The following is a 15,333-nucleotide window of genomic DNA, read 5'->3' on the forward strand; positions in this document are numbered from 1 at the left end:
GCCGCCAGCGCCCCAGTAACTTGCCGCGCGCATTCACAGCCAGACCCAGGGAAAGGAAGGTTTTTTGTTTTTTTGTTTGTTTGGTGTTTTGGTCTCTGAGGTTTTTGTGTTTTTTGCTTGTTTGTTTTGTTTTGTTGAAAATAGTAGGGCACAGAATGGGGAGAGGAGAGACGGGAAGCGCGCTCCTAAATAGAAATGCTGTTCTCAATCAGCACCGGGTCCAGGTAGTAGTAGGGGATGGGAAGGCACTTGTTGCGCTGGCGGATGTCGTGTGAGATCTGGTTCAGGCGCTGGCGGAACGCCTCTATGCTCCTCCGCGGGGCCTCCTCCACGAAGTGAATGTCCGGGAAGTGTCCCAGGGGCCGCTGCGGGCAGAGAGCTCGACAGCTGGGACCAGGGCCGGCCAGCACCCCCTCCTCCTGCCGGTGGCCCTGGCCCCTCCACCCTTTGGTTTCAGTGGCCTCTCACTCCCTGCTCCCCTCTTGACGCCGCTAGTTATCCTCCCCCATCCCCGGCTTCTGGTCCCCTCCCTGTGCTCAGAGTCCCCCATCCCGTCTCGCACCCTGTCGTCAGGCTCTCGGCTGAGGGTCCAGAGCACCAGCAGCGTGATGCACGTGGTCTTCACATCCGGCAACGTGTCCATGAAGGTCTCCAGAGTGGTCAGCCCCTTAGTCTGAATCGGTGGATTCCGCATGGACGCTGGGAAGTTGGGCATCCAGGCGGTGAACTCCATCTGGAGGTGGGATAGAGGCGCGGGTCTGGGTGGAAGAGTACCTCAGGAGTTTCCTTCCACCAGGTGCTGACCACCCGCCCTCCAGTCGCTGAGATGGACTCCCCGCCCTTGGCGCTGAGGCTGGGCTGGGTTGGTTAGACTGGGGGTGGGGCTGGGTGTGGGGCTGGGGCTGAGAGTTGGGGCTGAGGCTCGGTTTCCGTTGGGACTGGAGTTGAAGCTGGAACAAGTTGAGGCTGGACCAGGGATTATGGCTGAGGCTGGGTTTGAGGTTGGGGCATGGACGAAATTTAGAAGGTCTGAGCCTCGGGCTGGGCCTGGGTTGGTGAGACCACCGGTACCTGGCCTGTGTTGACAGCAGCGTGCTTGGCAGAGCAGGTGTAGATGACTATAGTGACATATCGGATCAGCTCAGGCACGGTTCGCAAGCACCTAGGGAAGCCTGACCGGCGGGGGAAAAGCCCAGGCGACATCAGTCGTGCCCTGGTACTGGCTGCCCGGCAGAGGGCGCCACCATGCCCCGCTCTCACCGTTTTGCAAAAGCTTCAAGCTGCCGCATCCGTACCCTCATCCTGCCTGCGTGACCCTCCTATGGCAGCAACCCCATCTCCCCTCACCCAGATCATAAGGCTGGGGACGGAGGACTTGGCCAGAAGTCCTCCAGGGCTGCTCCTGGCCCCTGTCTAACCAGTGGCCCTCAGATCTCTCTTCCAGTTTCCCTGGGGATGCCGCTCCGGTCCCAGACCTGGGGATGTTGGGAGAGGCAGGAGGCTTTCCTGGGTTCCTTCGGAAGAGTCCTGCCCCGACTCAACCCAGCGCCCCCTCTCCACTCCCTCCCATCACCTCCTTCCAGACTCTGTGCCCACTCCAGATGGATTTCTCAGTCCCACACATCTTCCCTACCAAGCTGCTGGCTTCCCTTTCCTGTTGTCCCGTGTGAACCTCAGGTTGCTTCTCTTTCCTGTTGTCCGGTGTGTCCTGGTTGCCATGGTGATCTCAGGTTCCAAAAGTCCCACATATTCAAACCAGACCCATCATCTTCCTCCCTAACCGCTCCTCCTTTTAGCCCCCAGCTCAATGGATGACCTACATCACGTATCCAGTTGCAAAAGTCTGAAACGTGGAGTCGCCCTTGGCCCCTCCCTCCCCTCCTCCTCCCCTCACCACCAAACTCAAACCATCACCCAGTCCTGTCATTTCTAGCTCTGGAATTCTCTGTGGCATCCCCACAGCTCTTACCCTAGTCAGGTCCCCAGTCTTCCCTCCTGGACACCACAACAGCTTCCCTAACTGTCTCCTGACTGCCAGTGCAGCCTGATATTCTAGCATACAAGTCTGATCTCCTTGCAAAACCCTCCCTGGATCCCTCTGGCCCTTAACCAGGCTGTGCAGCCTGGCCGTGGCTCACGGCCTCAGCCTCAGCCCATTGGGAACCTCCCCACGTCCCACCCTAAGCTCCAGTTGCAGAGAACATGATTACAGTAAGCAGCTCCTGGAACTCCCTATGCTCTCTCTGGCTTTCTCGACTTTCCACATACTGCTCCCATGCGGAACTCTCCGTCCCCATCCTCAGTCATCTCGAGGCTAACCTCTCCATCCTGCAGATCTTAGCTAGATGTTAGCCAAGAAGTTAGATTTCAGCTAGATCTTAGCTTGCTGCTCCTGCCCTGTCTTCTCTCCACTACCCCTTCCCAAAGTGGGTTAGGCGCCTTCCCTGGGCTTCCCCACAACTTACTTTAGGGAAGTACCTGCCACCCCAGACTGTGAACTCCTTGAAGGCAGGCACCTTCACCACTGTCTTTTTCCCTTTTGCCTCCTCAATAACCAGCACAGTGTTGCACTGTGGATGCTCACTGGATATTTGTTGAGTGTGTACCCAGGTGGCGGGACCTCAGGGCGCTTTCACCCTTCTCCTGGAGCTGCCAGCTCCCTGGCCTCCTGCCCCTTCCCGTTGGAGCTCATACCCCATTTCACAGTCCACAAAGATTTGTTTCTGGGGTGGGGCTGGGACCCCTCCAGGTCTCTGCAGAGATGACCCACAGCCCCTAATCTCAGACAGGGACCCATTGCCAGCCATGTTTTCTTCCCCAACCTCTCTGAGATGCCACTGCTCCAGGGGCCAGAGAAGAGCCTGTCAAAATCCTAGGGCAGCAATTTGGTCTCCTTCAGTCTACAATAAAATATGTTCTGATCCAGCCCAGGAGGGCCCTAGCAGACCTGCCTGGGGGCTGCCCCTCAGTCCCAGCTCCCCCTGATTGCCCAGGTGTCCAGGCCCATACCTGAGCTCTCCCGCCCCAGGAGGCACTCTTTAAATATTTCCTGCACCCAAGACTGCAATTCCGGATCACCCTCCACGGCTGCGTCACTCGGGTAATAATAGGTGATGATCTCCGTCACATACCTGACCAGGGGACAGGGCCTCAGTTTGGATCCTCCTCCCCTCCCACTCCTCAGCCAGGCTTCTCCCACCTCCCCCAGGGTGCCCTGACCTCAGTTGGCCCCAGAGCTGCCCCAGGCCTGTGGGAGGGCAAGTCCTGTGGGGCAGAAGTGGAGAGGATGGCTTGGCAAGGTCAGAACACACCCAGAGCACTCCCTTATAAGGGATGGGCAAGGCCTACAGGCATCTCAGATCCCAGAAGCGATTTGGCCAGCAGAGGTGGGCTGGGGACCCAAGCAAGGAAGGGGCCTGCTGGGCTGAGGGTGTAGGTGTGATGGACACACAGACCCCAGGCCCCTTCCCCAAGGCCAAGCCCCTGGATGACACCAGACCCACACTCAGTTCTCTAGAAGCTCCCCACACCCTCTCCAACATCCCAGGTTGTCCACCCTAAGAGCCACCCACTGCTGTCCTGAGCTCACTTCTCCAGTGCATTCCACACCGCCAAGCTGTCATCGCGGTAGTAATATCCAGGCAGGTCCTGGACCCCACGCTCCACAAAGTCATTGGGGAGGTAGAGGCTGTCATAGGTGAGCTCCGACAGAGCCCGTACCATCACCCCAGCAAAGCCTTCCACGCCCAGGGACATGCCCTGTGAGGAAGGAGGCAGATCCTGGAGCCGGACAGGCATCCCTGGAACCCCTTCAGGTCCTCTAGGATCCCAGTAAGTGCCCCTGTAACCCCTGACCCAGCCCACCCCACCTCCAGGAACAATCCTGCTCTGGGCCAGCACACCAGCCCTGCCTCTGCTCCTTTCTAGACAGGAGAACCAACTTCATCCAGCTCCCTCCCTTCATGCCCCCTCATGATGACCCAAAGGCAAATGGGAAGTCCTCCTCTTCATCTAACTGAAAAGGCCAGAGGAAAACAAATGTCTCGTTGGGGTTGGGGGCAGAAGTCTTACCTTGGCAGAGAGCCCCCCCTCATTGAGGAGAACGGCCCGGCCAATGCTGTTGATCTGGACGGTGTATCGGGTATGGGGGATGAGGAGCTGTGGGGAGAGCAAGGAGGATGAAGAGAGAGGGCTGAAGTGGCCCCCAAAGGAGCTCAGCTCCCCATTTCTGTAACGTCAGATCTGCTCACTCTGGGAAGTCCCTATGCCAAGCCCTCTCTTGTGGTCCCCAGATGCCCCCCAGGCTGACTGGAGTCTCTCTGACTGCTCAGTGGGCCTGGGGGTTTTCGGAGGCCAGGTGAGGGCCATGATGCCTGGGGGAGGCCCCTTCTCCCAAGCCCATACCTTGTAGAGGGGGTGGCACATGGGCAGGTTCCTCAGCAAGGCCAGGCAGAAGGCCTCAGCAATGAGGTGTGTCTCCAGCAGGTGGGCGATGGCCTCGTGGCTGTAGAACTCCGCATAGCGTACCCACGTCTTGGCTAGCAGCCAGTCCCACTCAGAATCACTGGGCAGGAAGATGGGGCAATCTGGCCCAGGGGTCTGGCTGAGCTAGGTGTGGTGAAAGAGAAAGGGTTGGGTGAGGGCAGAGACCCACACACATAAAGGCCCCACCGCAGGAAGGAGGCAGAAGGGAGTATGAGAAGGTGAAAACACTCCTAAGCTCCGGTCCCACTGGTCCCCTGAGCACCCCTGGGCCTTTCCTCCCTCCCCACATTTGATCTTGCTGTTCCTTCTGCTCAACTGCAGTACCTTCCTCTTGCCCCTGTCTCTACCTGGCAGCTCCCACTTATTCTTCAAGAACCATCTCACAAGCTGCCTTCTCTGGCAAGACTTCCTTACTTCAGCCACACCTCCACCACATTCAGGTGCGCAGGTTGTGCACTGCACAAGGATTCCTAGCCCCTCAGGGGGCAGGCAGATCACTGAAATCAGCCTACGCTATTCCATTAAGGAGCCAGGAGCATCAGGCTCTGGGGCTCTGGCCCATCCCCCCAGAGGGAGCCTCTTTCTAACTTGCACATGACGCTTGGGGGGACCTCTGGGAAGGAAACACCCAGTTCCTTCCTCTGCCAGACCAGATTCCCAAGGCAGAGGCTAAGTCTAATTATCTCAGTATTTCCAGTAGGGACCTGACCCCCTTCAGGGATTGGTTTTCCAGGTGGATGGATGGATGAAGTCAAAGAGACAAGCACACCCCACAGACACATATACATGCACACACTCACAGATGCACACACATAGGGGCATACAAGTACAGCTGGCCCTCCGTATCCATGGGTTCCACACCAGTGGATTCCACCAGCAACAGATGGAAAATATTCTGGGAGAAAAAGTGTCTCTACTGAACGTGTACAGACTTTTTTTCCTTGTCATTCCCTAAACAATACAGTGTAACAACTATCTACATAGCATTTACATTGTATTGTATTGGGTACTATAAGAAATCCAGAAAGGATCTATTTTATTTCATTTTATTTATTTATTTATTTATTTATTTATTTATTTATTTATTTATTTTTGAGAAGGAGTCTTGCTCTGTCACCAGGCTGGAGTGCAGTGGCACGATCTCTGCTCACTGCAACCTCTGCCTCCTGGGTTCAAGAGATTCTCCTGCCTCAGCCTCCTGAATATCTGGGACTACAGGCGCCGCCCCCGACCATGCCCAGCTAATTTTTGTAGTTTTAGTAAAGATGGGGTTTCCCCATGTTGGCCAAGCTGGTCTTGAGCTCCTGACCTCAGGTAATCTGCCCACCTCGGCCTCCCAAAGTGCTGGGGATTACAGGCGTGAGCCACCACACCGGGCCTAGAGAGCGGGCCTAGAGAGGATTGAAAATACACAAGAGGGCCGGGCGAGGTGGCTCACGCCTGTAGTCCCAGCACTTTGGGAGGCTGAGGCGGGAGAATCGCTTGAGCCCAGGAGTGCAACATGGAAGAAAGCGTAGCGCTCCTTGTGTACACGCAGCAGCAAGAGCTCACCCAGCTCCGCTGAGCAGCGCACTTTGTACTTCTGTACCTCAGGGGACCAAGACAGCAAGCAGGTGAGAGGCGGGGAACTGCCAAGGCGGTCCTTGAGCCTTGCAAGGTGCATCTCCACCTAAGCCTATTCGGGCATACAAACCTGAGCTGCTCCCAGCCCATACCGGGCTTTTGTATGAACTAGAAAAATGTGCCCAGGCTGGACGCGGTGGCTCACGCCTGTGATCCCAACACACAAGAAGATGTGTGTAAGTTATATGTAAATACTGGGACTTTTTTTTTTTTTTTTTTTTTGAGATGGAGTCTCGCTCTGTCGCCCAGAGCGACATGCAGTGGCATGATCTAGGCTCACTGCAAGCTCCGCTTCCTGGGTTCACGCCATTTTCCTGCCTCAGCCTCCCGAGTAGCTGGGACTACAGGCGCCCGCCACCACGCCCGGCTAAATTTTTGTATTTTTAGTAGAGACGGGGTTTCACCGTGTTAGCCAGGATGGTCTCGATCTCCTGACCTCGTGATCCGCCCGCCTCGGCCTCCCAAAGTGCTGGGATTACAGGCGTGAGCCACCGCGTCCGGCAATACTGGGACATTTTATATAAGAAACTTGAGCATCTGCAGATTTTGGCATCCCGGGGAGGTCCTGGAACCAATCTCTCAAGGATAACGAGAGACGGCTGAATACATGCAGGTCCACACGCTCACATAAGCGCGCGCACACTCGGAGGAGCATTCGCGCACACAGAGGCTCAGCGGCAGCGCCGCCTGCAGCCCAGGCACCTGGATGGCGATGGGCATCATCTTGCCCTCGGGTCCAAAGTGCAGCAGGCAGAGGGGGGCGCAGTGGTGCTGCTTCCGGCCGCTGAGCTCCACGGTGGGGATGCCCTCCATGATGCGGTAGTCGGCCAGGTAAATGTTCCCCTTCTGGAGGGGAGCCGCGATGGGTGGCAAGTAGGCACCCACACGGGAAGCCCGTGACCCGCGCCGCAGGTGCACAGGGCGCTGGCGACTAGGGGCAGGGGTGGGACGGGGACAGGGACGCGGGGTGCGGGCTTGCCTGGGACTGGCGCGGGCGCCGGAGGTGGGGAGAGACGGGGATGCCCGCGAGGGAGGCCGGGAGGAGGGCCGGGGTCTCCGCCGGAGCGGGCCTCACCTCCAGCTCCGCTTGCAAGCACGTTCCCTCGCCCAGGAACGGAGCCACCATGTCGTCTGTGACGGGGAACTTGTCTGGGATCCGCGTGCAGCGGCGGATCAGGCCGGGGTTGACGCCGTTGAGGTACTGGTACCCAAAGAAGGTGTCCTCTGCCCAGTGCTCGGCCACGTACTCTGCGAGGACGGCGCGAGGGCGTCACAAGGAGGCCCGGCCCCCCTCGGGGACGGAGAGGCATGGGACAGAAGAAGACTATGGGCACCGAGAGGAGTCGGGGAGGAAAACGAGGCCCCCAGCCTGGCGCTGAGCGGCCGGAGGAGCCCGGTGCGACATTTTCCAAGAAGCCGCCAGAGGGCGCGCGCGCGCCTCGCTGCCTCTCCCGTCCCACTGCCCCGAAGTCGGGGGCCTGCCTAGCACGCCGGAGACCGCCTGGCTCCCCCTGCTCGATCCGGGACGCCCCATTCCATACCGGAGACGACAGATTTCTTGCCAGGGAAAATTTTCCTAATGTCCTTCAGCCTCTTCCACGAATGTTTGCAGTCCAACAGGCCGCGGACTTTGAAAGCCAGTGCCCTAGGAGATGGGATTCCAGGAAGAGGCCTTCAGAGGGGCTGCCAAGCGCCGGCTGGGGCAGGTGGCGGGGCCGCCCCATCCACTTAGGTCTCTGGGTCTCAGGGTCTGTGCGTCGCAAAGTCTCTGGGTCCCATGTCTCAAGATCTTTGCATCTCTAGGTCTCTGGGATCATGTCTCAGGTTTTCTGGGTCTGCGTTTCAGCTCCCTCTGCCTTCCTGGCCATTCCAACCTCTGGGGCTGTCTTGGAGGCCGCCAAGGTTGGGGGAGAGGGAAAGTTCTTGCAGGAGCCCTCGTTCTCCCGTCACTCACACGGACTCACATGGGCCCCAGGCGGACGAAGAAGGAGGCCGTCTTGAGGAAGGAGTAGCGGAGATTTAAGTTCAGGAACTTGGTGGCCTTAAAGTTGATGAGAATTGGGAATCCCGGAATATAGCCATTCCACCTGTGGGGAGAAGCGCAGGGCAACTGGGATCCAGGGGGCGGGGAGGAGGCAGGCGCCCAGGGGAAAACCATGGGCGGGGCCCAGCACAGCTTCGGGTCCTTACTCAGGCCGGTTGGGGTTGCGATGCCTCCGCACCGGAGGGCGGTAACTGGGAATGTGCACATAGCTGGGCAGGCCAGGAAGAAAGACTCGCCAGCTGCAAGGGAAACCGAGATGTCACCCTCATGCCCGTGCACCACCCCAGGGCAAAGGGCCAGAGCCATCACTGCCCCCCACCTCCCTGGACCCCTGCCGGGCGCCCAGACTCTGCCACCCGCCCCCTCACTGGTAGAAGTCCTGCTTGGCTCTGATCTCCTCTTTTCTGTGCTCCAGGAGGACGGGGAGCGAGTCATCTGCTGTTGTCTTTCCTGTAGGGAGACCAAGGAGAGGACTCAAGGGCTGACCCTTGCCCCTGCCCACTTCAGGAAGCAGGAGTTCAGCTTCTGTGCCCCAGGTCGTCTCTGGGGGGGCCCATGACCAAGGAGTGGGAAGGCTCACCTTGGGAGAGTGAAGGTGCGTCCTGTCCGGAAATATCAGATAAAAGAATCACGGACCCACCCTCTTTCCTCTTGCTCTACTGTCAAGCTAAGCTCTGCTGCTGCAAAAAGTCCCTCCTCTAGACCCACTGAAATATTTTTTATTTCTATAAATTCATGGAGTACAAGAGCAATGTTGTTACATGCATAGTGGCCAAGTTAGGGCTTTAGGTTACCCATCACCCAAATAAAGTATATTGTACCCATTAAGTAATTTCTCATCATCCACCCCCTCCCATCCTCTCACCCTTGAGAGTCTCCATTGTCTATTGTTTTGCTATGTCCATGTGTACACATTTTTTTTTTAATGGAGTCTCGTTCTTGTCACCCAGCCTGGAATGCAATGGCATGATCTCGGCTCACTGCAACCTCTGCCTCCTGGGTTCAAGCGATTCTGCTGCCTCAGTGTCCGGAGTAGGTGGGATTACAGGTGCCTGCCACCATGCCCGGCTACTTTTTGTATTTTTAGTAGACACGTGGTTTCGCCATGTTGTCCAGGGTGGTCTCGAACTCCTGACCTCAGGTCATCTGCACGCCTCTGCCTCCCAAAGTGCTGGGATTATAGGTGTGAGCCACCACACCTGGCCCATGTGTACACATTTTTTAACACCCATTTATGGGTGAGAACATTCGGTATTTGACTTTCTGGTCTGGCTTGTTTCACTTAAGATAATGACTTCTAGTTCCATCCATGTTGCTGCAAATGACATGATTTCATTTTTTTCATGACTGAATAGTATTCCACTGTGTATATATACCACATTTTCTTTATCCAGTCATCCATTAGGGCACTTAGGGTGATTCCATATCTTTGCTAGTGTGAATAGCGCCACAATAAATAAGGCATCTTTTTGATATGTTGATTTCTTTTCCTTTGGGTATATACCACTGAAATATTAATAACTGACAGTTGTTTAGCACTTACTAGGTCCCAGGTATTGGGAAAAGGGCTTGTGGGGTGCCTGTATAAACTGGCCATAAAAATATGTGACAGTAAGCTGTGGAAAGTCACAAAAGGCCTCTGAGGAGGAAAGCGTTCTTATCGCCATTATGTTCCCATGCTCTGAGCGTTAACCTGCTGTCTTATCTATAAACACTGTGTTCAAGGAGAAAGACACTCCTTTGAAACCTGGAAGGTGGACAGACGCGCAGGCTCCTAGTTAAGCCTGTTCCCACTAGCTGCTCTCCGATAAGTTAAAGATGTGCTGTTTGAGCACAAAGGAGATTCGTTTAAACCGCTATTGCTATAGATTACGCCTGTGACGCACTGCCTCCCTTTCAGTGTTTCACCCTGAACATCTGCTTCTTAGATCTAAGTGACTGTACTCAATAAATAGTGTGGAGACCAGAACTCTGGGCCTTTTGCAGCCTCCATTTTGCAACTGCCTCCCTGGCCCCCACTCTTTTTGCACTCTTAACCTGTCTCTTCTCATTCCTTCGTCACCACCGGACTTTGGGTACCCTACAGGTGGTGTTGAGGCTGGTCCCCAACACCAGGCACTTTGTAGACACTTTACTTTTATTAATCTAAGCCTAAGAAGCACCCTATGAGGCAGGTGACTATTACTATAGGCTGGTGACCCCTTCGTCACAACTGCAAAGTACAGAAAGCTGTGGAAATCAAGTTTGTCTGTTTGTTCCACAACAAATTCATTGGTTGACAAAGCCTGCTGTGAATCTCCCTGAGGCTATATACAATCTTTATTTAACTCACTGGGTCTAACTATTCATAGTTTTTACTGGGAAGTGTTAGTATATTTGATTGGGGTGCCCTGTGGTAGATATAGCACATAATATATGGGGTATGTGTGTGATATAGATTTATAGATGAAGATATATATGTATACATATACATATTTTATATAAACATACACACATGTGTACAGATACATGTGTATGTAGCTTCTCAATAAAATCCGAATTTCAAAGCACCCCTGGAATCAACAGTTTCAGCTAAAGGACTGTATCCCCATGCCCATTTTACAAGGAGAAACAGTCGCTATTATGTATTACGTGGGGACAAGGCTGGATTTGCCCCGTAGTGGGCTGCTTCTGACCACCAACAGTTGTTAAGCCTTTTAAAATTCTGTTCAGGCCAGGTGCGGTGGTTCACGCCTGTAATCCCAGCACTTTGGGCGGCCAAGGCAGGTGGATCATGAGGTCAGGAATTCAAGACCAGCCTGACCAACATGATGAAACCCCATCTCCACTAAAAATACAAAAATTAGCTGGGTGTGGTGTTGCATGCCTGTAATCCCAGCTACTCTGGAGGCTGAAGCAGGAAAATCACTTGAACCCAGGAAGCAGAGGTTACAATGAGCTGAGATCATGCCACTGCACTCCAGCCTGGGTGACGAAGCGAGACTCTGTCTCAAAAGAAAAAACAAAAACAAAACAAAAAAAAACAACTCCGTTCAGATGTCATCTTATTGGATTCTCACATCCACCCTATGAAGTAGGTTCTGTTGTTATCTCCATTTTACAGATGAGGGAACCAAGGCTTAGAAGAATTTGGAAATGTGGCCGGGTGCGGTGGCTCACACCTGTAATCCCAGCACTTTGGGAGGCCAAGGCAGGCAGATCACAAGGTCAGGAGATCGAAACCATCCTGGCTAACACGGTGAAACCCCATCTGTACTAAAAATACAAAAAATTAGCCGGGCGTGGTGGCACTCGCCTGTAGTCCCAGCTACTCAGGAGGCTGAGGCAGGAGAATCACTTGAACCTGGAAGGTGGAGGTTGCAGTGAGCCGAGATTGCGCCACTGCACTCCAGGGCGACAGAGCGAGACTCCATCTCAAAAAAAAAAATTTGAAAATATGCCCAAATGTCCAGCTAGTCAGTGGAAGAACTGAGACCTAAGTCCAGGTCCGTCTTTCTCCAGCACCCTGGCTGGTGGTCCCCAGGCTGGCCTGTGCCTACCGCTGCAGCCCATCATTTCCCCTCAAGTCCCTTACCTCACCACCCTCTCCCTCCTCCACCTGCCTCAGCTCATGTTGTATTCTGGATGAACAGTGCTCCCTGGAGTTGTGCAACCCAGAGACCTAGCTCGTTTTCATCCCCAGGGCGGAAGACTCACTCCTTTGAGGGCCCTATGGGTGACTCAAGTCTCCCTGTCCTGTTGCGTGGCAGCGGCCCCACCCAACCCCATTCCTGCCTGGCCACCAGCATCACCCTGCCTGTCCCCTGCTTCCATGTCACCCAGACCTGTCACTGCAGGAAGATGCTCTGTGTCCCCAGTGAGACCCTCCCCTTGGCATGCTCACCATCTCCCAGGCTTTCCTCGCCTCTCCTTTCCCCAGCTCAGGCCCTGTTCCCCAATCCTGGGGGAAGATTCCAGCACAGGGCAATGAGAAACGGAAGAGAGGTAGTCAGCTGCAGGGAGGATGGGGCTTCGGGCCCTGGGTGTCCTCAGCTCAGCCTTTCCCTCCCATTCGCCTCAAGGGAAGCCAACAGACACTCAGGTGGTGGAACTGGGAGATAAGAGAGGACAGGCCCCCAGTCCTCATGCAGCACCACAAATTAGGAAGCTGACCCCAGCCCACCACACAAGGGGCTCTGGCAGGGGTGGGTGCAAGGAGCTCAGCCACTCCGGTCCTATGTCTCTCCCATGGGAGTAACCAAGCAAGTGGAAAACCCACTGGGCAGCCTTGGCCAGCCTTAACCTTGGAGAAACCCTGACAGTCTATCTGAATAACAGGGCCCCTATTAGATAGATCCTTACTGGATTAAGGGGGGCCTTTTGGAGTAACAGTGCATCCTGTTAGAGAAATATGGTGTCCTGTTGGGAAAATAGGGAGTCCTTTGGAGCAATAGAACATCCCATCAGTCTAAAAAATGCTCAATTAGAAAACTGGGGCTCATGCCTGTAATGCCAGCACTTTGGGAGGCTGAGGCAGGCAGATCACCTGAGTTCAGGAGTTTGAGACCAGCCTGGCCAACAAAGTGAAACCCCATCTCTACTAAAAATGCAAAAACTAGCATCAGGAGGCTGAGGCAGGAGAATCGCTTGAACCTGGGAGGTGGAGGTTGCAGTGAGCCGAGATCGTGCCATTGCACTCCAGCCTGGGCAACAAGAGTGAAACTCCGTCTCAAAAAAAGAAAGCCAGGGCGTCATAATTATAAGACCGCAGCACCACGGAGACCTGTTGAACTCAAAGGGCTTCTAAATGGGATAGCAAGGTGCTGGTTGGAATAATGGGGCATCCTGTTATAGTAACAGAATCCTGCTGGAGTAACAGGGCGTCTTTCTGGAGCGCATATGATTGGCATCATAAATAGGCCTCCTGTGAGAGTCCTGAGCCTGTACTTAGCATCACAAGGGGTATTTTTAACGTGGCCGGGCATCTTATAGGAGTCAGGGAGGACTGGAGAGGTAGCGGGGAGCGCACTCTGGGAATGCTGTCTGCTGCCAGATGGGGATGCTGAGGGTAGCTGCTGGGCCTCAGGCACCTCTCTTCCTCCAATGTGCAGCCCCAAGCTGAGCTCAGGGCAGCAGCACTGACTGAGGGAAATGTGTGACAGTGGCAGGAGAGCCCAGGAGTCCCTGGTGGGGCTGGGCCCCCCTCTGGCTTGATGGGAGCCTGGGTGCCATGCCAGGGTAGCAGGCTGGAGCTAGAGGCCTCACGGCCATAGGATGGAGCAGGGTGATGAGGGCTTACCTGTGGCCTCCCGGAGTGCCAGGGTCTCGTAGCCATCCATCCACTGGTAGGCGGGGAAGTGGTAGATACGGCCGTTGGGGGCACAGATCTGCACATAGTTGCAGTACCAAGGGTCCTTGGGGAAGAAGGCGTACCGCTCTTTGTGCAGGCGGATGATGATGAGCTCACCCAGGTCCTGAGGGCACTGCACGGTGTACTGGCCCACCTAGGCAGGATGCAAGCCTGGCTGAGTGGGCAGGACTTCACCCCGGCTCCCAGGCCGCCCACCCCTCTGGCCCCTCACCTAGGCCCTGCTCATGCTGCGCAATGCTCACCTCCCTGGACTGACGGAGGGACAGGATATTGACCTGATCATTGAGCTTCCTTCTGACTTCTCCAGCTTGGGGGTCTCCTACTGGATTCCTCTACCCAGGGCTATGTAGGACTCCAGCCCCTCCTTCTCTCCATCCCCAGCTCCTGTCTTCTCCCACTCCCCTCTCCAGGCACCTGAGGTTGCAGGAACCCTTCAGACCCCTGGGGACTTGGGTACCACTCTACAGTTTTCGAGTGGGGAGAGGCCCAGCCAGCCCCTTCTCCCATTCATCAATGAAGATGCAGATATTCAGAATGGCCACATAGATAGAGTGACCTATTAAGGTCGCCTAGCAGCAGGTGGCTGGGTCTGACTGAAAATCAGGTCTGAGGACCCGCAAAGCGTGCCTTCCACTGGACAGGCTGGTCTGATGCCATTTTAAGTCACAGAGAATCCAGTGCAAATGTGAGACAGTTAGGAGGCAGCTGAATTAGGAAGAGTGACTGAGAATGGAAGAGAGAGGGATGCGGGAGAGGGGGTAAGACAGAAAGGGGAGGAGAGCAAAGGGGAAGGAAAGCAGGTGGAAAGGATTGAGAAAAGAGAGATGCAGGATAGGCAGAGACAGGGAGAGAGGGCTGAGGAAGAGGGAGAGAGAAGAAAAGGATGGGGAGGGAGATGAGGAATGCCTGAAAGGGTTAGAGATGAAGGAGCAGGATGGAGAAGGATGGCCCAGAGATCTGGGACATGGGCGAGGGGCTGGAAGCCAGCTCTGGACAAGGCGTGTAGAGCCACTGGGGAGCCCACTGCCTTCGGAGCTGTGCCTCAGCTCTCCAGCCTCTCCTCGCCAAGCTCAGCTCACCTGGCTCCCCCTGCGCACCTTCACCCCTCCCGGGGCCACAAAGACACACAGACACACACAGACACACACAGACACACACACACACACACACAGACACACACACACACACACACACACACACACTCTTACCGCCCCAGTTGCAAAGTCTCTCCCAAAGTGGTTCAGCAGCTGCTTATGGCTCTCTCCTTGTGTCCCCACAATGGTCAGTGAGATGGAGTCCCGTGTTCCCGACAAGAGGTCGGTGCCTGTGGCCACCCTGACTTTGTAGGTGGCCATGGCTGCTCTTCAGGAGGCAAGAGGGGCACTCAGTCCCAGACACCGTGGAGGGGCCACACGAAGGCCCAAGGCAGGCAAGAGAAGCCAGGCACAGAGTGGAGTGGACAGGGCTGGCCTCCGAGGTGCAGTGGTGAGGTGGCGAGGTGGGGTGACTAGGCCTGCCAGCCAAATTCTGGAAAAGCTGCTGCCCTTGGTGGCCGGGGTGGGTGCCGGGCAGGCCCAGGCGGAGCCCAGCTGGTGGTGAGTGAGCAGGTGTCTGGGCTCCAAGCCTTCTGGGAGCTGGTGGGGAGGAAGAGCAGGCAGGGCACTGGGCCTGCCTCTGAAAGGGCGGATAGAAGATGCCGTGGATGAAGGCGCCTTCAGGGTGGGGGAGCCAGTCCAGCCTGAGCCAGGGCCCTAGGGAAGTTGCGGGAGGGGGCAGGGTGTGGTCCCCAGATCTTTATCAGACTAATAAGCTCCTTCCTCCTGCCAGTCCC

The 15,333-nt window shown here is 55.6% G+C and overlaps 1 protein-coding gene and 1 long non-coding RNA gene across 2 annotated transcripts, besides 4 other annotated features; one reads left to right on the plus strand and one right to left on the minus strand.

The window, feature by feature from the left end:
• ALOX12B (arachidonate 12-lipoxygenase, 12R type) lies at window positions 51–15,131 on the minus strand. The gene is made up of 15 exons (NM_001139.3): window positions 14,711–15,131; window positions 13,431–13,635; window positions 8,521–8,602; window positions 8,299–8,391; window positions 8,073–8,195; window positions 7,650–7,753; window positions 7,184–7,356; window positions 6,811–6,954; window positions 4,405–4,608; window positions 4,072–4,158; window positions 3,590–3,759; window positions 3,010–3,131; window positions 1,072–1,172; window positions 563–733; window positions 51–365 (listed from the first exon to the last, which is right to left on the minus strand). Exons 1-15 carry the CDS (start codon window positions 14,855–14,857, stop codon window positions 186–188), a joined length of 2,106 nt encoding a protein of 701 aa, NP_001130.1. The 5' UTR covers window positions 14,858–15,131; the 3' UTR covers window positions 51–185.
• Window positions 474–1,007: an enhancer, noted in NCBI's record as "H3K4me1 hESC enhancer chr17:7976377-7976910 (GRCh37/hg19 assembly coordinates)". NCBI's record gives its function as "activates a minimal SCP1, AML or CMV promoter by ChIP-STARR-seq in naive H9 embryonic stem cells {active_cell/tissue: H9 hESC(naive)}" and the evidence as "EXISTENCE:reporter gene assay evidence [ECO:0000049][PMID:30033119]".
• Window positions 6,863–10,701, plus strand: LOC107985075 (uncharacterized). Its single transcript, XR_001752778.2, has 2 exons — window positions 6,863–6,939; window positions 7,220–10,701. It is a non-coding gene; the product is annotated as an uncharacterized LOC107985075 (long non-coding RNA).
• Window positions 7,037–7,216: a silencer, noted in NCBI's record as "silent region_8149". NCBI's record gives its function as "represses an Ori minimal core promoter by ATAC-STARR-seq in GM12878 lymphoblastoid cells {active_cell/tissue: GM12878}" and the evidence as "EXISTENCE:reporter gene assay evidence [ECO:0000049][PMID:35858748]".
• Window positions 7,277–7,386: an enhancer, noted in NCBI's record as "active region_11660". NCBI's record gives its function as "activates an Ori minimal core promoter by ATAC-STARR-seq in GM12878 lymphoblastoid cells {active_cell/tissue: GM12878}" and the evidence as "EXISTENCE:reporter gene assay evidence [ECO:0000049][PMID:35858748]".
• Window positions 14,159–14,907: an enhancer, noted in NCBI's record as "H3K4me1 hESC enhancer chr17:7990062-7990810 (GRCh37/hg19 assembly coordinates)". NCBI's record gives its function as "activates a minimal SCP1, AML or CMV promoter by ChIP-STARR-seq in naive H9 embryonic stem cells {active_cell/tissue: H9 hESC(naive)}" and the evidence as "EXISTENCE:reporter gene assay evidence [ECO:0000049][PMID:30033119]".

This window comes from Homo sapiens, chromosome 17, assembly GCF_000001405.40.
Source record: "Homo sapiens chromosome 17, GRCh38.p14 Primary Assembly".
NCBI classification, from domain to species: Eukaryota; Metazoa; Chordata; class Mammalia; order Primates; family Hominidae; genus Homo; species Homo sapiens.

What these genes read in the sequence shown, in the direction of transcription:
- ALOX12B (NM_001139.3), bottom strand. Translation starts at nt 14,857, where the DNA reads ATGGCCACCTACAAAGTCAGGGTGGCCACAGGCACCGACCTCTTGTCG. An exon ending in GCCAAGCAGGACTTCTACCA is followed by an intron (nt 8,392 to 8,520) that starts GTGAGGGGGCGG and finishes TTTCCCTTGCAG; the next exon opens with CTGGCGAGTCTTTCTTCCTG. An exon ending in CTGCTGTCAACACAGGCCAG is followed by an intron (nt 734 to 1,071) that starts GTACCGGTGGTC and finishes TCCCACCTCCAG; the next exon opens with ATGGAGTTCACCGCCTGGAT.